General features: G+C 41.7%; 1 protein-coding gene and 1 long non-coding RNA gene across 10 annotated transcripts in view; one reads left to right on the top strand and one right to left on the bottom strand.

The window, feature by feature from the left end:
* The first annotated feature begins 261 nt into the window (after positions 1-261).
* Positions 262-17030, top strand: LOC101927345 (putative ankyrin repeat domain-containing protein 20A12). Of its 7 annotated transcripts, none has more exons than XR_007067816.1 (6): positions 262-687; positions 1320-1533; positions 2872-3092; positions 7713-7766; positions 8572-8627; positions 10258-17030. XR_007067816.1 is itself a non-coding variant. In XM_011544009.3 (2 exons), exons 1-2 carry the CDS (start codon positions 400-402, stop codon positions 1380-1382), a joined length of 351 nt encoding a protein of 116 aa, XP_011542311.1. In that variant the 5' UTR covers positions 262-399; the 3' UTR covers positions 1383-1518. The 7 variants fall into 7 exon arrangements, 1 of the variants encoding a protein (XP_011542311.1); XR_007067813.1 differs by having other exon boundaries at positions 8572-10736; positions 15667-17030; XR_007067809.1 differs by having other exon boundaries at positions 8536-8627.
* LOC101930100 (uncharacterized) overlaps positions 7827-19833 on the bottom strand; it is a 44165-nt gene continuing 32158 nt past the window's right edge. For 2 of the 3 annotated variants that reach the window (NR_188302.1, NR_188303.1), the window contains exons 4-5: positions 9764-9865; positions 7827-8371 (exon numbers count right to left, since the gene is read on the bottom strand). This is a non-coding gene — a long non-coding RNA (uncharacterized LOC101930100). Of the gene's footprint in view, positions 8574-9763; positions 9866-19833 lie in introns of all 3 variants that reach the window. The other variant, NR_188301.1, reaches the window with a different exon arrangement.

Below are 19833 nucleotides of genomic sequence, written 5' to 3'. Positions count from 1 at the left end.
TATTGACTTTGGCCTAAATAACTCAATATGATATCTCTGAAACTTTTTTTGACATACTGTGGGGAATGATAATGAAGGAAGGGGGTTAGACACTTTTTACTAGGAGATAACTTTGTGCCATTTAAGGAGGAACAAAAATGAATTATCAGAAAAATAAAAGTAAAATGAAGTACAAAAATTCTGTGGCAAAGATGATGATAGTAAAGAATATATTTTTATGACTCATGGTAGCTTTAACTTTGTTCTTAAAATTCTGAATAATTTAAGGGTTCACATTTGAAGAATCTGCTGCATTACAGATAACATTTTATTGCAAGTAAATGCATTTCAAAATTTGCTATTGGTTTTGTATTAGATTATTCTCAGCCTACTTCATTATCAAGCTATACTATTTTATTCATGCAGTTTGATGATCTTATGGCGGAGAAGGAAGCTGTATCTTCAAAATGTGTCAATTTGGCTAAAGAGAATCAAGTTTTTCAACAGGAGTTATTATCTATGAAAAAAGTACAACAGGAATGTGAAAAACTTGAGGAGGATAAAAAGATGTTGGAAGAAGAAATATTAAATCTTAAGACACATATGGAAAACAGTATGGTAGAACTTAGTAAACTACAAGAATATAAATCAGAGCTAGATGAAAGGGCAATGCAGGCAGTAGAAAAATTAGAAGAAATCCATTTACAGGTGAGTTGTTTAAATCAGGTAAGTTTACTTGTAATGTGCTTTCATTTATTTCACTGCAAATTATATTTTGGAGATTATATATATATATATATATATATATATAGAGAGAGAGAGAGAGAGAGAGAGAGAGAGATTGCCTCTCTTGTAGCAATCTGCTTTGTAGAGTTCTAGAAAAAAATGGTATCTGTTTTTTCTTTTAAATATTTAAATTTCCATTATTATTATAACAAAATCAATCTTTCAGAGTAATGATTCTCATTATGGAGTAATTTGATGATTAAGACCAGTTGGCATAGGAAAAAATTGTGATTTAGAAATTATGTGATAATTATGAATTGGTCTTAAGCTACAGTGTTCATTGATCACTTTTTAAGACTATGAATGGATTCTATTACTTTTTATATGACCAGATTACATTAATACTAGCATAATTATGATTTCAAATTTTTACAAATCAGACTTAATTCTGAATTCAGTTATTAGTTTTGATATTGCTGAAATATTTTAAACTTCATCCTCTTTTTTAACATATTCAAAAATACTCTTTGAATCGCTGACTCAAAATGAAAGGCAACAAACATAATAATTAGGTTATAATTGTTTTAAAAGTGTATTCTTTTCCTCTGTTTTAGGAACAAGCACAATATAAAAAACAATTAGAGCAGTTAAACAAGGATATAATACAGCTTCACTAAATAAGAAGGAACTCACACTTAAAGATGTGGAATGTAAATTCTACAAAATGAAAACTGCTTATGAAGAGGTTACAACTGAGTTAGAAGAATATAAGGAAGCCTTTGCAGCAGCATTGAAAGCTAACAGTTCCATGTCTAAAAAATTAACTAAGTAAGTCAAAACATACACTCATAGAAAATGAATTAAGCTCATTAATTTGTTTCAAAAGCATAATTTTTAGTGAGATGGCTTCAGATTAGAAGGAAGTGAATGCTAATTTGACAATGTAATTTTGAAAAATAATGTTAGTAAATAATTTTACCTTTAAAATGTTAGTCAAAGATAGTTTTTGTCTCTCCTCTCATTTTTTTTTTTTTTTGCTTTTGTATGGCTTTTTTTCCTGAAAAGTCTCATGTAATTAACCTGATCTGTTAGTTTTTTTCACTAAGTATTTTTGAAGCTTTATAATCAATGAAGTGACCTTGTTATAAAATTACTTGTCAGAATTTCCCTAAATAGAAATATTAATGTGTTTAATTTACTTTTCAGTGGATCACAACCTAAATGCAAAGTGGTACTTCTACTCTGGGCACAATTGTTTTTGATTGTGATCTTTAGTATTATCACCAGAGGGTGCCTCAAGAAAGACTATTTGTGTAACATATTCAAGATGTTACAGAAAGGCACCCTTGTGAAATAGGGAATAATTATCACAGGAATTTAAAGAAGTGTAATTCACAAAGCGGTTAAAAAATAACACCTTGTTCAGCCTGAAGCGGTGTGTGGAAGGCAGAAAGAACATGCCCCACCTCCAGGGCCTTGGTCACAGTGTTGGGGACTAATTGCCTTCAGAGATGCTTTAATTCTTTTTGATCACCAACCAGACAATCTAGTTCTCCCCTAGGAGTTGTTGCTCTGAATTATTCCTCAGTGCCAAATGTTTAATTGGTCCTAGATAATGGGTGAAATGTACAAGAGTGAAATCTAAAACTGGTTTACTAAACACAAGTGTTCCTAGATTTTTTTTCGTTCATTTTAGTTTTCTTAACCTACATTAAGGAGTACAACATGATGTTTTGATATAATTATTTCTAGTGAAGTGGTTCTTATAATCAAGCAAATCAACATATTCATTTTCCCACATTATTACCCTTTAAATACAAGTATTTCTAATGGAATCTTCAGAATCTTCCAAGTACAGCCATTTTAGAAGGCAGGAAGTTTTACCTGTTGAGCCATACATCACTGATAGCCATTTCTCTTCCCTGTCTACTTTGTTTGAACTGCTTGTTCAGTAGAAATCACCTTAGAAACAATGGTGCTTCTTTAGAATGATTTTAAAATTATAATTCCTTACAACAGGTATGCTCTTACACATCTTCTGTGTGAAAACACTATTTAGTGGGTAATTTGGTTTACTCTCAGGGTAAGTTTTTAAAAACTGCAAGTCATTAAGAATCATTTAAGGAAAAATGAAATATTAAGCATTTGTCTTTGCTACCTTTACAGATCGAATAAGAAAATAGCAATGATCAGTATCAGCTCTTTATGGAGAAAGAGCAGGTGAAATATTTTCTCAGCACTCTTCCTACAAGGCGAGGTCGAGAGTCACCTTGTGTTGAAAATCTTACTAGTATAGGACTCAACAGAAAATATATTCTCCAAATGCCCGTAAGAATTCCTACTTCAAACCTCAGACTTCAAATAACTGCCAGAACTACTTGACTGAGGTTAGTTATATGACCGTTTCTCTTTAGGGTTTCATTTCTCTAGCGTAATTCTTGTTTATAATTTGGTGAAATACTGAGTTGTTCTGTTGACTTTTGCATGTGAAGTAAAGATCACAATTAGCTGTGTTAACACAGAAAGGAAATGGGAACTTTACATTTTTTAATTCCCTGGAGCTCTCATTTTCAAGAGATATCCATTTGCTAACTTTATTCAATAAATGTGACTAAACTGACATGTTTGAAATGTCTTTAAAAGCTGCATTTAAGTTAGGTTTTAGAAATTGCATGTTATTGCCTGATAAGTGATGATATACTTTGAGATGGTCTGGCTTACTTTCTAATTGATTATAGTTTAGCTGTGGTTCATACCACATTTTTTTTTTCTTTTTTTTGAGGCAGTGTCTCACTCTGTCACCCAGGCTGGAGTGTCTTGGTGTCATCTCCACTCACTGCAACCTCCACCTCCCGGGTTCAAGTGATTCTCCTGCCTCAGCCTCCTGAGTAGCTGAGACTACAAGCACCCACCATTACACCCAGCTAATGTTTGCATTTTTAGTAGAGACAGGGTTTCACCATATTGACCAGGCTCTTCTTGAACTCCTGACCTTGTGATCTGCCTGCCTGAGCCTCTCAAAGTGCTGGGATTACAGGCATGAGCCACCGCACCCGGCCCATGCCACTTTTAAAGTTTCTTTGCACCAGCCAGGTGTGGTGGCTCATGCCTGTAATCCCAGCACTTTGGGAGGCTGAGGCAGGTGTATCACGAGGTCAGGAGTTCAAGACCAGCCTGGCCAAGATGGTGAAACCCCAACTCTACTAAAAGTACAAAAAAAATATTAGCCTGGTGTGGTGGTGGGCACCTGTAATCCCAGCTACTAGGAAGGCTGAGGCAGAGAATTGCTTGAACCTGGGAGACGGAGGTTGCAGGAGCTGAGATTGCACCACTGCACTCCAGCCTGGGTGACAGGGCAAGACTCCATCTTGAAAATAAAAAAAAAAATTAAAAAAGTTTATTTGCACCATCTCAATTCTTCCCACCCATAATCACGACTGAATGATTAGCATCCACTTTGCCACATATGGATGTTTATTATTTAGTAGAATCCAAAATAATTGCATTTTATGAATTAAACAAAACACTAAAATGTTCATTTCCCTTTTTATTTTAAAAGCTTTGTGCTTGGCCAGGCATGGTGGCTCACACTTGTAATCCCAAAATTTGGGGAGGCCGAGGCAGGTGAATCACCTGACGTCAGGAGTTTGAGACCAGCCTGGCCAACATGATGAAACCTGTCTCTAGTAAAAATACAAAAATTAGCAAGGCGTGTTGGCAGGCATGTGTAATCTCAGATACTCAGGAGGCTGAGGCAGAAGAATCACTTGAACCCAGGAGACAGAGGTTGCAGTAAGCCAAGATCATACCACTGCACTATAGCCTTGGTGATGGAGACTCTGTCTCAAAACAAAACAAAAAAAAGGTTTGTGCTTTCTTTACATAAGAGTACATCTTCTGACTATAAAAATCCTGGAAAAAACCTAGGAAATACTCTTCTGGATATCATATTTGTCAATTAATTTATGGCTAAGTCCTCAAAAGCAATTGCAAGAATAACAAAAATTGACAAGTGTGATCTAATTTAGCTAAATAGCTTCTGCACAGCATGAGAAACTATCACGAGATTAAACAGAAAGCCTAAAAGAATGGAAGAAAATATTCACAAAGTATGGATATAGCAAACGCCTATTATCCAGAATCCATAAGAGACCTAAACAAATCAACAAGCAAAAAATAAATAAGACCATTATAAATGGGCAAAGGACATGAACAGACAGTTCTCAAAATAACACACGTAAGTGGCCAACAAACATTAAAAAATGCTTACCATTGCTAATCATCAGAAAAATGCCACACAAAACATCAATGAGATACCATTTCACACCAGTCACAATGACTTTTGTTAAAAACAAATAATAAATAAAAACTTAAAAAAGGATGTTGGGGAGGCTGTGGAGAAAAGGGAACACAAACCGTTTGTGGCAATGTAAATTAATTCAGCTACTATGGAGAGCAGTTTGGAAATTAAGAACTAAGAATGACTGTTGGATGCAGCAACCCCATTACTATACTAGGGGTATACCGAAAGGACAATAAATCATTGTAACAAAAAGATGTATACACATGTATGTTCATTGCAGCACTATTCACAATAGCAAAGACGTGGAGTCAATCCAGGTACATCCAAGGTAGATTGAAAATCCAAGGTAGATTGGAAAATTCCATATATACCATGGAATACTATGCAGCCATGAAAAGAACAAAATCACATCATTTGCAGCAACATGAATACAGCTGGAATCCACTCTCCTAAGCAAACCAACACAGAAACAGAAACCAAATATCTCATGTTTTCACTCATGTGGGAGCTACATATTGGGTGCACATTGTCATAAAGGTGGGAATAATAGACACTGGGAAATAAGAATGGGGAGGGACAGAGTGAGCCAGGGTTGAAAAACTACTTCTTGGGTCCTATGCTCACAACCTGTGTGATGGGTTTAATTGTACTGCAAACCTCGGTATCCCTCAATATGCCTTTGGAAGAAACTTACAGAGGTACCACGTTAATTTAGAATACAAACTAGAAAAAAAAAAGAAAAGTTTACTATAAGTAGAGAACAGAAATTTCTTTTTAAGATAAAATTTATTGAAGTAAAAAATGGATTAAACTTTTATAAAGGGCAAAGTTTTCTAAGAATTTCAAAGCAATGCATTCATTGCAAAAGATGGCTTTAATTACTTAATCTTTTTTTGTGTGTGTGTGTGTGAGACAGGGTCTCACTCTCTCACCAGGCTGGAGTGCAGTGGTGCAGTCTTGGCTCACTGCAACCTCCACCTCCTGGCTTCAAGCAATTCTCCTGCCTTAGTATCCCAAGTAGCTGGGACTACTGGTGCACATCACCACGCCCAGCTAATTTTTGTATTTTTAGTAGAGATGGGGTTTCCCCATGTTGGCCAGGATGGTCACGATCTCCTGACCTTGTGATCTGCTTGCTTTGGCCTCCCCAAGTGCTGGGGTTACAGGTATGAGCCACCATGCCTGGCCATTGTTTAACCTTTGTACTAATAAAACACTACCTTTCTAAAATCATGTATATGCAATAGATCAATATTAACTGCATTTTTGTCAGATTACTCTAAACAGCATTACACATATACATCCTCTGTTATCTAAACTTAAAATAAGTAGAAATTTTATTTTATTTATGTGATTATTTTTCTATTTAAGCAAACTTCAAGTTATGTCTAGTCACTAAAAATACTAAAGGCCACATTTTGTAAGTGATACATGATTTTCATGATAATGTTTCTTGTTTAATTTAGACATTATTATTATTTTTACTTATTTTAGATGGGGCTGGACTGTGTAGAATAAATAATTAGAGAAACAAAGAGAAGTACGTTGACAAAATTTATTAATTAAATTTAGGTTTATTTTAGAAATAAAGTGTAAATAGCAAATGGCATTCCTTTTCATTCTTGGGTTAGTAGATACTACATCAATATTTTTTTCTTACACACATCTAATGAAAGATGTGAAAACAAAAACTTTCACAGAGAAGACTGTACTTATGCACCATAAATTCATCATGTTCCTAAGCTTAAACAGTTCCCAAGAAGTCTGTGCATCTCTTTTTCACTGGCTCTACAGTTTCTTAAGTTTTGCCATCCTCATGGAACTGTCAGCCAGCACACTGAAACGATTCTCAGAAAACAAAAGCATCATCAAGTTCTCAGGGTTTCGGTAGAGATTGAAGGCCAACAGACTAAGACTCATTCAGAAATACTTAGCTGAGCAATAACCCTTCATAAGCAGTCACTTGACAGGTGACATTTTAAATCTCCTCTAATTTACTGTGTCATTGGCTTACACTTGTTCTCAGGAAAAGTTCCAAATTTTTCACCATGAAATAAAAACACCCATGTCAATGTAATTCTTGCCAAGTTACTCAGCCTTGTTTCTCACCACTTACTGCACTCTGCCCTTTGCTCTAGCACCAAACTGGATGGAGTGGAACTCTGCAGGGCTCTTCCTCACCTCAGGCTCTTTGCCTTTGCCTCTTTCCTCTATCTGGGAAGCTTTTCCTTGTCCTTCAGGTATCAACCTATGTTATCTCCTCCACCAGAAAGCCCATGATATTGACATAAAAGTGGGTAGATGTCCCTTCTCTGTGTTCCAGTAGTGCCCTGCTGTATACCTGTCACGGTATCTATGACTCTATATGGACATTGCCTGCCTGTCTGTTTTTTAGGTTATAGCTTATGACTGTTGAGAGGTGGACCATGCCATCTTCATCTTGTAATTCCAGTGCTGGTTCTAGTACCTTAGCATGTGGCTGTTGATTACATGAATGAAGACTGAAAAAGTTCTGATATTTAAACACAATTAGAATTAATGCCATGTGTAAATTATTAAATAGTAATTTTGTATTGTAAATGTACATACATATTTCTCATTCTTATTAACTCTGATAAAGTTCTCAATCTTTAGTTTTTAAACTCACACTTAGTTAACTGAAGTGTTTTAGGTAAAGAACAAGATTCTTTATTTTTCTTTCCAGCTGTTGCTGTATTGGACACTTGCTCCCATCTACTTTCTTCTCTAGAATCCACGGGTAAGCCACATCTAATGAAGAGAATATTTAACCATAAAGTCTTAAGGAAAAATTCTATGATGATTTAAAAGATTATAAAACTTTATTACTGGGCTATTTACACATTTTAATTGTTTCTCATAAAATATATAACATTCCAATATTTACTGAAGTAGGATATTTTTGTATCATATGTATGATTATAATTTATAGGGTATTTTAAATGATGTTTTTTGGCCTCCTTAAGTTTTAAGTGGATCTTGCAAATGAAAACCAGTATTATTGAGTTTGACATACTCAAATTGCCCAAATGTCAGCTGTTTAAACAACCAAGTCATCACTGATACTTTAGTAAAGGTTAGTAAAGGTCATCGAAGGCTTATTTGCATTTTACAGTTTTTATTACTTAGGAGAGTTAAGGAGTACCTGCCAGGTTTGTCCATGCTAATGTTACAATTTTCTTTTTGTAGTTCAACCGTATTTTGTATGGAGATACTTTGAGGCTCTGTAAATATCTGGTTACTCCTCAGAACCCACTAGATTTAGCATTTCATGGATGACTTGTGTTTGAACAATTATTACTATGATGGTTACCAGATGATTATTTTCTTATTCTCTTCTTTGTTCTACATGGAGAAATAAAACCAATAAATAAGGGAGAAGGAAAGCTCATGATTCTGATGCTCCAATTCCCCAAGATTAGGCCAGTAGTAGACATTCCAAGCTGACTTTATGTCTCTTTGATTTGTCTCCATTACTCTGTCGGCACTTTTTTACTTTCTGGCAGAAGATGTTCTAAGCTCAGCTTGTATTTTCTCTGCGCCAGCTCTGGAATGAGTCATTTTTTTTAGAAGCAGAGGTGGAGCCACTGAGGAAGCACAGGTGAGCCCTCCCCAGTGTGTACTCACTGGTCCCCAACAGAAGAACCACTGCCACATCCACTGAAGTACCAAGAAACTAGCAAAGGGCCTTCTGGCTGTCTGGGGAGAGTCCTCATGTGGTCCCTGGCTGTCTCAGAGGTTCTGGATTAGTCTTCCTGTAGCCTCTGTGTTCTGTCTTTAGATCGGGGCTCTGTGGGAAGGGCCCTGAGAGACCCAACAGCACAGCGTGCCTTATCTACCAAATGTCCCTCCCTTCCTCACACCCTGACACTCAGGAATAGGGTAGATGGTGTGTCCAGGCAGTGTCAGGCCACCTCACTTTCTCCTTTGAGACGGGCCCAGAGGGCCTTTGGGGTGAGTGTGGAGCTGGGAACCTGGAGCCTGAGGCCAACTGTCTCTCCCTGTGTCTTGGAGGAAAGGCCACGTCCCAAAAAAAAACCCCAGGGCCTGACTTCTGGGCACACATGCAGGGAGGGAGGGTCTATGAGCTGAGGGGGACATTGTAATGAGACTTTGAACCCCGTTGCTCCGGGGCCTGGTCAGTGGACCATGGTCAGAGATGACCTGGTCATCAGGACCTGGTCATTTGGGACCTGATCAGCAGGGGCCTGGTTAGTGGCGGCCTCCTCAGTAAAGGCCTCATCAGTGGGGACCTGGTGACCTAGTCACTGGAAGCCTGGTCAGTGGGGGGACCTAGTCAGTGGTGGCTTTATTAGTGGGGCCTGATCTGTTGGAACATAAACAATGAAAAACTGGTTGGTGGGGCATACACAATATATCACGGGCCTGGTCAGTGTGGGGCCTTAGTGGCTTGGAGCCTGGTCAGTGAGGGCCTGGTCAGAGGGGGCTCAGTCAGCTGGGTACTCGTTCATGGAGAATTGTTCAGTGGGGGGTCGGTTGAGCAGCAACCTGGTAAATTGTGGTCTTGTCAGTGGGAACCCTGTCTTGTCAATGGGGACCAGGTCAGTGGAAAATTGGTCAGTGGGGTCTGGCCCATGAGGCCTATTAAGTGTGGGCCTGGTTAGGAAGACATGGTCAGTGGGGACTTGATCAGTGGGACCTGGTCAATGGAGGAGTGGTCATTAGGGGTCTCATCACTCATCACTGGGAACCTGGTCAGGGGCAGTTTGTCAGTACCTGGCCTGCTGGCCACTATGTGACCTCAGGCAGGGGGGTTGTCTGTGGAGCCTCCTTGCCTCCATCTGCAGGGAAAGTGAGTCGGGGCACCCTGGAGGGTGGCTGGAAAGAGAAGGTGAGAAGATGTGTTGAATCCAATACTGCTTGGCAGACCTACAACTTTACAAATGACCTGTGTTCCACCTAGAGAGGGTGCCAGCCCTCTCAGCATTATGCAGTGCCCCTCCTCTGTCTGCATCCCCAGGACCACCATGGGTGGGGAGGGCAGAGATTGGGGAGCACCTATAGAGGCTCTAATGCTCTAAGGTGACAGTGATGAGGACCTGGGTGCACCCATGAGTGGAGAAGCTAGGCCTGTCCAGAGAAGCAAGACAAACACACACATACACACTCACACACACACAGGCACATATGCATACACAAATACATTGCATACACACATGTCAGTTCAGGGGATAGAGGACACGGACTCTGGGCCCTGTTGACCCAAGCAGACTCCCATGGTGGTGGGTTGTGTCACCCCAGAATGTCACTGTTGCTGAGTCCCCATCGCCTCTGTGTTGTGGAGCAGTTAGAGACACACAGCAGTGTCTGTGAGTAGCTCTGCGTGAAGGACCATTTTCTAGATGAGAGGCACATCTCAACACAGCTCACTGATCAGATTCAGGTGAGTGGGACCTGCTCTTTTCTCTTCCTTCTGGCTTGGGAAAAGTCACTATCAGGTGGATGGTTTTGGTCTCTGGGCAGCTACTGAGGGTAATCCCTGAACACTCACCAGCTGCCTGTTATGTGCTGACAGTCATCTCATTCATCCTCGCAGCAATTCCATTCTGCATCTTTTCTGATCACCTCCGTGACCACACAGGACAACCCCATCAGGGCCCTGTCACCAGGCCCAGTCTAGCTCCATGATAACCAAGACACAGGCCCAGAGACAATCGTCCTACATTGTGCCTGCATCTGACACCCCTTGGTAGGTAGTGACCAGCACAACATGGAAGAAGCCAGGGCAGCATGCAGCCAGCTGCTCTGCAGCCCCAAATGGCTCCTGGGCCTTGGGAAGTCACTCATAAAGGGGAAGCTGGTCACTTTGAGGTCCCTGAAGGGAAGGGTGAACGTGCATCCCAACAGCCCTGGCAGCCAGCAGCATGCCATACATATTCTCACCCAACGTGTGTGACAGAGGTCCCCTCCTGGGGCACAAGTCCCATACCTAAAGCATCCTGTCCCAGTCGGACCTCATCCTGAGCCCTGGGAGGGGAGGGGGACCATGGGCCCCCCTGCAGCAGCCAGGATTACCACCCAGGGGACTCGGCCTTCTGTGGCCCTGGCCAGACTTAGAATTTGGCCCAAGACAAACTTACTCGGAGCAGCTTCTCAGTACCTGGGGCCTGTGCATACCAGGCAAGGCCAAGCTGGCTCAAAGAGCAACCAGCCACCTCTGCAAGGGTATGCCAGTAGCAGGTGGAGCAGTCACCAACCTCACGCACTCAAGGAAACAGGGATGGCCAGTTTCCCACAGTCTGAGTGACCACCACCTGACAGCTGATGGAGTGGAGGCCTGAGGAAAAGCAGATGGCACTGGGGCTCCACCTCCAGGGCAGAATAACTGATTTACCCTGACTGGCAGGGAGTGACGTTGGTGGCTGGTCCACTGGCTCCTGGCACACCCTTGCAGAGGTGGGTGGTTGCTCTTTGAGCCAGCTTGGCTTTGCCTGGCATGCACAGGTCTCAGTGCAACAAATGTGCTGCAAATGGAGCCACATAGAGGAAATGAGCAGCAGGCTCAGAACTGGGGTGTGTGCCGCCTTTGGGGCTCCAGTCCAAGCATCGGGGCTTCTACAGCACTGTGGGCTTCTCGGGTGCCAAGAGGCAGACCACAGGCCATCTTGAGGAGGACTCTGGTAAGAGCTTCCTTGTGTACGTGGATGATGTCCAGAATGTTGACCTGGTGTCCCTGAGACAGCACTAACAGGTCCATGACTGGGTCCAGATCCTGCCTGGGCTGATGGGCAAAGAGCTCACTGACAGTGTGGAAGGCATCTATGGTGAAGTGGATCTATGTTCAAGTGCAGAAAGGGCCCAATCTTGCAGATGAACCACACAGCCAGCTTCTGGATGCAGGTGCAGTGCCACATTTTTTGTCACTTCCTGATGTGCCCCACCAGCACTGAAGAGATAGCCTGGAGACAGGGCAAGAGGAAGGCTGAGAAGGATGAGATGGTGAGTGCCAGATTCTTCCTGGCCCTGAGCCCACCCCCAGTGTGACACTCAACTTTTAGGAGTGGGAGAGCAAGATTGATGGCTTCAAGTGCTTCATCAAGAAGATGGACAACAGGGCACTCAGGTCAACTTCACAGCCAATGAGTGGTGGCAGGCTTTGAGAAAGAGCATCAGAAGCCTGACAGTTCTTCTTCAGCCTCAGCCAGGCCTTGGAGCTGGACCAGGCCATCCACTTCAGTATAGATGCCTTCCACTCTGTCAGTGAGCTCTTTGCCAGTCAGTCCAGGAAGGACCTGGACCCAGCCATGGACCTGTTAGTGCTGTCTCAGGGACACAAGACAAACATCCTGGACATCATTCACATACACAAGGAAGCTCTTACCAAAGTCACGGAGAACAGACAACATGTGGCAGAAGGGAAGACAGAGGTGCAGAGGCTGATGGAGTCATTATCACAGGAACAGGATTTCTTTGGCCACTTTGGCTGAAATTCACCACTTCCATCCAATTCACTCAAGTGAGAGACTTGAAATCACAGATGGAGCATTTCTTGCAACAAGAGATACTATTTTTTCAAAAAGTCACCTAAAATTTGATAGTGTTGAATGACTAGCTATTCGAGTGTGGACTTTTTCCAGTTCACGGGTACTTTCTACAGCAGAATGATAACAGTATCAAAGAGCTGGTGCCAGCTATCGGTGGTAGTACAAGGATGACTTTGTGCTCAACTGAAACCCAGCTGAATATAGAATTGTGTACGAAAGTGTTAATATGGTGATAGAATAGAAACAGTAGCAAATGAACTAAATCATACTATGAATGCCTACACTACCATTATAACTTTTTGAAGAATGATAATACCACTTACTTTATTGCCTTTTGAAGTAGGAATATTTTAGTGGATATTCTATAGATCTGAAACCCTATAAAGAATCCCAAAGAAGCTGGCTGGATAAAGCCTGCTATGGATGTCTTTATACTCAAAGACTGATGAGGCAATTCGAATATGTGTCCCCACCAAATCTCTTGTTGAATTATGCTTCCTAATGTTGGAGGTGGATCCTGGTATAAGGTGATTGAATCATGAAGGCAAATTTCTCATGAGTGGTTCAGCACCATCCCCTTGGTACTGTCCTCACAATCATGAGTGACTTCTCGTGAGATCTGGCCACTGAAAACTCTATATCACTCCCTACTCTCCGTGATTTCCTCTTGCCATGTGAGACAATTCACTCTTTCATTACCTTGCACAATGATTGAAAGATTTCTGAGGCCCCCCAGAAGCAGAAGCACTAAGCTTCCTGTCCACTCTGCAGAACCATGAGCCAATTAAACCTCTTTTTCAAGATAAATCTTACCAAAAATGTCAAATGAGGACTGGAGCACTGCTATAAAGATACCTAAAAATGTGGAAGCAACTTCGGAACTGGGTAATGGGTAGAGGTTGGAAGAGTTTGGAGGGCTCCAAAGAAGACAGATGAGAACATTTTTGGATCATCTTAGAGACTGGTTAAATGGCTGTGACAAGAATGCTGACAAAAACATGGACAGTGAAGGCCAGGCTGAGGGGGCCTCAGATAAAAATAAGAAGCTTTCTGGAAAATGTCTCTCTTTTGGATATGGAAAGCTTACACAATGCCTGTACCATCATTGTACCTTAGACGCAGTGAACTTGCTTTTTATTTCAGAGACTTGTAGGCAAAAGAGAATGTAGCCTTGACCCAGATGAGACTTTGCACTTTGTAACTTTGAGTTAATGCTGAAATGAGTTAAGACTTTGGGAGACTGCTGGCAAGGCATGACTGTATCTTGCAATGTGAGAAGGACATGAGATTTGTGGGGTCAGGGACAGAATAATACGGTTTTTCTCTATGCCCCTTCCAAAGCTCATGTGAAAGTACACTCCCTAATGTTAGAGTCGGGGCCTAGGTGGAAAAAGCTTTAATCATAAAAAGTGGGAGTGGATCCTTCACAAATGGCAAAGCACCAAGCCCTTAATGCCATCCTCCTGATAGTGAGTGAGTTCTCATGAGATCTAGTAGTTTAAAAGGCTGTGGAACCTCTTTCCTCTCTCTGTCTTGTTCCAACTTCTGCCATATGAAACATGTCATTGCCGCTTGGATTTCCAGTGTGGTTAGGAGGGGCCTGATCAGTGTGGGCCTGGTCCGTGGACCTAGGTCAGTGAGGACTATTTAGTGGGATAGTGGTCAGCAGGGGTCTGCTTAGAGAGGGTCTCATTAGTGGGGTCTAGTAGTGGGGGTTTTGGTGAGTGGGGACCTATTGGCTGCCAGTTGTTTGGTGTCTGGTCAGTGCAAACCTGGGCTGTGGGGCTTGATCAGTGGAGACCTGGTCAGCTGGGGCTTAGTGCTGGTCTGGTCAGCATGGGCTGGGGCACTGGTGACCAGGTCAAGGGGTGCTACTCAGTGCAGGACGGGGCACATGGGACCTAGTCAGCAGACCCTGGTGGGCGTGTCCTCATCAGTGAGGCCCTTGTCAGTGGGGCCCTGGTCAGGGCAGCCTTGTCGGCGGGACCTAATCTGTAGTGTCCTGGTCAGAGAGGACTTGGTCAGTGGTGACTTTTGTAGCACCGGTCTACAGGGTGACTTGGTCAGCGGGAATCTCAGCATTTGGTGCCGGTTCAGTGGGGTCTACTCACTAGGGTCCCAGTCAGGGGCATCTGGTGACATAAGGCCTCATTATTAGGGGCCTGATCAGTGGCAACCTGTTCCCTGGAGGCCTGGTCAGTGGGGCCTCATCTTTGGGCCAGGGAATGAGTTCATGATCAGTGGAACCTGATCAGTGAGGCCTTGTCAATAATGACCTAGTCAGTGAGGACTTGTCAGTAAGGACATAGTCCATGAGGCCTTGTCAGTGAGTCCTTGTCAGTAAGGTCCTGGTCAGTGGAGTCCTTGTCATTGTGTGCCCGGCAGTGGGGGCCTTGTTAGTGGGGCCTGGTCATGAGGGTCTAATCAGTGAGGGTGTCATCAGGGAGGACCTGATGTGCAGGGTCTGGTCAGCAGGGACCTGGTCAATGTGGGCTGCTGAGCACTGCTTGGATAAGCCAGGTGCAATGTGCATTATTGAAGGCCCTGTGGACAGCTGGGATAGCCCAGTGATGCCCAAGGGCCTAGTCAAAAGTGGACAAAGCACATATTTGGATGGACCTGGGAGATCCTGCTCAGAGATTCTGACAGGACAAAGGTAAAGGAAGGGCCAGAGTGGCTGGAGAGATGGTCACAGTCTATGGGCTGCACAGGATGGAGGAGGCTGGGGAACAGGCAGGGTGGGCAGTTGGGGTTCAGGGAGAGGCAGGTGCATGCTGGGAGGTCAGACCCTGTGAGGGCTTTGGGGGCGTCAGGTTGGGTAGGCTCCAGGCACTCTCACTCACATAGGATTCCAGAACACTGCTACAAGGCTCTGAGTGTTTGTCCCTCACATAGGATTCCAGAACACTGCTGCCATTGTCTGAATGTTTGTCCTCCACATAGGATTCCAGAAGTCTGCTGCTGGGGTCTGAATGTTTGTCCCCCATCTAGGATTCCAGAACACTGCTGTGAGGGTCTGAATGTATGTCCCTCACATATGATTCTAGAATATTGATGCTAGGGTCTGTATGTTTGCCCTTAACATATGATTTCAAAACACTGCTCCTGGATTCTGAATGTTTGTCCTTCTCATAGGAATACAGAACACTGCTGCTGGAGTCTGAATGTTTGTCACTCACATAGAATTCCAGAACACTGCTGCGAGGATCTGAATGTTTGACCCTCACATGGGATTCCAGAACACTGCTGCGAGGGTCTAAATGCCTGTCCCTCACATAGGTTTCCAGCACAATGTTACGAGGTTCTGAATGTTTGTCCCTAACATAGGATTCCAGAGCACTCCTGCTGTGCTCTGAATGCTTCTCCCTCACATAGGATTCCAGAACACTGCTATGAGGGTCTGAATGCTTATACCTCATATAGGATTCCAGAACACTCCTGCTGTGGTCTGAATGTTTGTTCCTCACATAGGATTCCAGAACACTCCTGCCGTGGTCTGAATGTTTGTCACTCACATAGGATTCCAGAACATTCATGCTGGGGTCTCAATGTTTCCCTTAACATAGGATTTCAGAACACTGCTCTTGGGGTCTGCATGTTTGTCCCTCACATAGGATTACAGAACACTGCTGCTGGAGTCTGAATGTTTGTCAGTCACATAGAATTCCAGAACACTGCTACAAGGGTGTGAATATTTTTCCCTCACCTAGTATTCCAGAACACTGTTGCAAGGGTCTGCACGTTGGTCCGTCATATAGGATTCCAGAACACTGCTGCTGTGGTCTGAATGTTTGTCCCTCACATAAAATTCTGGAACACTGCTACAAGGGTCTGAATGTTTGTCCTTCACATACCATTCCAGAACACTGCTGCCGTGGTCTGAATGTATGTCCCTCACATAGGATTCCAGAACACTGCTACTAGGTTCTGAATGTTTTTCCCACACCTAGGATTCCAGAACACTTCTGCTGGTGTCTGAATGGTTGTCCCTCACATATGATTCCAGGACACTGCTATGAGAGTCTTAATGTTTGTCCTTCACATAGAATTCCAGAACACTGCTCCCGTGGTCTGAATGTTTGTCCCTCACATAGGATTCCACAACACTACTGCTGGGGTCTGAATGTTTGGCCCTCACATAGGATTCTAGAACACTCCAGCTGGCTTCTGAGTGTTTGTCCCTCACATAGGATTCCTGAAGACTGCTGCTGTCGCTATAGTCGTTGAGAGTGTCTGAATGTTTGACCTTCACCAAACACCAAATATCCTGGCCCTTTAGTCTTGTACTTTCCAGCCTCCAGATCTGTGAACAATAATCTCTGTTGTTTATGAATTACTCAGTCTGAAGTATTTTGTTATAGTAGCCTAAAGAGACTAAGAGAGCATCACCTGCCCTGTCACCTCATCACCGCATTACTGAAGCTATACTAACAACAGTCACTTTTAGTGGGTACTTCATGCATCAGAATAAAGGGAAAAAATTGCAAGGCTTACTAAAATCCAAAAAAAGAAAAAAATACAATTTGTGTCAACAGAGCAAGCTTCAGAAGCAGACAAAGATATGATCTTGGAATTTTTTTTTAAACCTCTGGAGAATATGCTAAGGGCCTAATGAATGAAGTAGACAGTATTCAAGTGTAGATGGGTAATGTAATGAGAAAGACAGACATCGTAAGAACTTTCAACATAATGTAGTGATGAAAAACGTGGTAAATAACTGAAGAATACCTCTGATGGCTTATTAGTAGACTGGACTCAGCTGAGTAAAAATCTCTGAGCTTGAGGATTTATCATCAGAAACTTCGAAAACTAAAGAAAAGAAACACTGAAAAGAACAGAAGATGATATTCAAGACTGTGGGACAACTACAAAAGGTGAAACAGTAATGAGAATACCAAGAGGAGAAGAAATAGAAGAAAGTTCTGCAACAACCATGTCTGAGAACTTCCAGTATTAATGTCAGACACCAAACCAAAGATCCAGGAAGCTCTGAGAACACCAGGCAGAATAAATACCAACAACCTACACTTGGACATATAATTTTCAAACTATATGAAATAAAAGATAAAGGAAAACTCTGAAAGAAACCAGAGGTGGGGCAGAAAACACCTTACCTACAGAGACACAAAGATAAGAACTGCATTCAACATTTCAGAAACTGTGAAAGTAAGAAGACAGTGAAATGAAAAATTCAAAATGTTGACAGAAAAAACCCACCAACCTAAGTTTCTGTACCCACTGAAACCACCCTTCAAAAGTGAAGGAGAATTAAGGCCTTCCTCAGAAAAATAAAAATTCAAGAAACTTGTTGCCAGGAGACCTGTCTTGCAAGAAATGTTAAATGAAATTCTTTAGGGAAACAAAAGATATATAACTGAAACCTGGATCAACATTTTTTTAAAAAGAGCATTAAAGAAAGAATTGTGGTACAATAAAAACCTATGTATTTATTCTTAATTGATCTGACCAAGAAGATCATAGACAATAACAAATACAGATATATTATGTATGCTTATATACAATTGAAATGAGTAACACTAATACAAGGAATGGAATGGAAGGATGGTAGGGAGGCATTGTGGTACAATAAAAACATGTATTTATTCATAATTGATCTGACCAATAAGTTTGTAGATAATAATAAATACACACAGATAGATTATGCATGCTTATACACAAGTGAAATAAGGAACAATAATACAAGGAATGGAATGGAAGGATGGGAGGGAGGAATCAGGTGTTTTCTTTGTTAAGCAGGTAGTCACCCGTGAAGTGGGATAGTGTTATCTGAAAGTGGACTTGAATTGGTTGTAAATGTATATTGAGGAATTAGGTGTGTTCTTTGTTAAGCAGGTAGTCTTATTTGTGGGATAGTGGGATAGTGTTATTTGAAAGTGGACTTGAATTGGTTGTAAATGTTACTGAGGAATTAGGTGTTTTGTTTGTTAAGCAGGTAGTCTTATTTGTGGGATAGTTGGATAGTGTTATTTGAAAGTGGACTTGAATTGGTTGTAAATGTATATTGCAAATTCTGTGGCAACTAGTTAAAAAAAAGTTTTAAAAAGAGAAGTATGTACTAAGAAAGACAGGGAAAATGGAGTCATCTAAAATCATCAATGAAAACTGCAAAAGGCAGAAAAAGAGTGGTAGACAAAAGAATGAAGACTGAGGAGAATGAATAGAAAACAGTAACAAATATAGTAGATATTAATCCAATGATATCAATAATCACTTTGAATGTTAATGGTATGAATGTACCAATTCAAAGGTAGAGATTGTCAGAGTCTATCAAAAGACAGACACATCTTGTTTCACTGCACTTTGCTTTATTGTGTTTTGTGACCATGTGTTTTACGTATTGAAGGTTTGTGGCCACCCTGCAATAAGCAGGTCTCACTGGCACCATTGTTCCTACAGCACGTGCTCACTTCACGTCTCTGTGTCACATTTCGGTCATTCTCACAGTATTTTAAGATTTTTATTATTGAATCTGTTGTGGTGATCTGTAATCAGTAATCTTTAATGCTACTGTTGTCATTGTTTTGGGAACCACAAATCACACCAGGATAAGACAGCAAACAATTGACAAATGCGTTTGTTCTGACTGCCCAACCAACGGGCCATTTCTCTTTCTCTTTTTCTCAGGCTTCTTTTTATTAATATTAAAATGTGGCCAATTAATAACCCTACAATAGCCTCTATATGTTCATGAAAGAAGAGTTGCATGTCTGTCACTTTAAACCAAAAGGAAGAAATAATTAAGCTTAGTGAGGAAGGCATGCTGTAAGCAAGACAGGCCAGTAGCTAGACCTCATGCAACAAACACTTAGCCAAGTTGTGAATGCAAACGAAGTGTTCTGGAAAGAAATTTAAAGTACTGCTCCAGTGAACACATGAATGATAAAAAGCTAAACAATCTTGCTGCTGTTATGAAGAAAGTTTAATTGGTCTAGATAGAAGATGAAAAAAAAACAAAAAACATTCCATTAAGCCTAAGCCTAACTCTCTTTTTACTTTTTTTTCTTTTTTTTTGAGACAGAGTTTCATTCTTCTTGCCCAAGCTGGAGTGCAATGGCGTGATCTTGGCTCATCGCAACCTCTGCCTCCCAAGTTCAAGCCATTCTCCTGCCTCAGCATCCCAAGTAGCTGGGATTACAGGCAAGCACCACCACACCTGGCTATTTTTTTGTATTTTTAGTAGAGACGGGGTTTCTCCACATTGGTCAGACTGGTGTCGAACTCCCGACCTCAGGTGATCTGCCCGCCTCGGCCTCCCAAAGTGCTAGGATTACAGGTGTGACA

The sequence above is a fragment of the Homo sapiens genome, chromosome 21 (assembly GCF_000001405.40).
Source record: "Homo sapiens chromosome 21, GRCh38.p14 Primary Assembly".
Classification (NCBI taxonomy): domain Eukaryota; kingdom Metazoa; phylum Chordata; class Mammalia; order Primates; family Hominidae; genus Homo; species Homo sapiens.
Note: the sequence above shows the minus strand (reverse complement) of the source record. Positions and strands in the feature narration are given on the sequence as shown.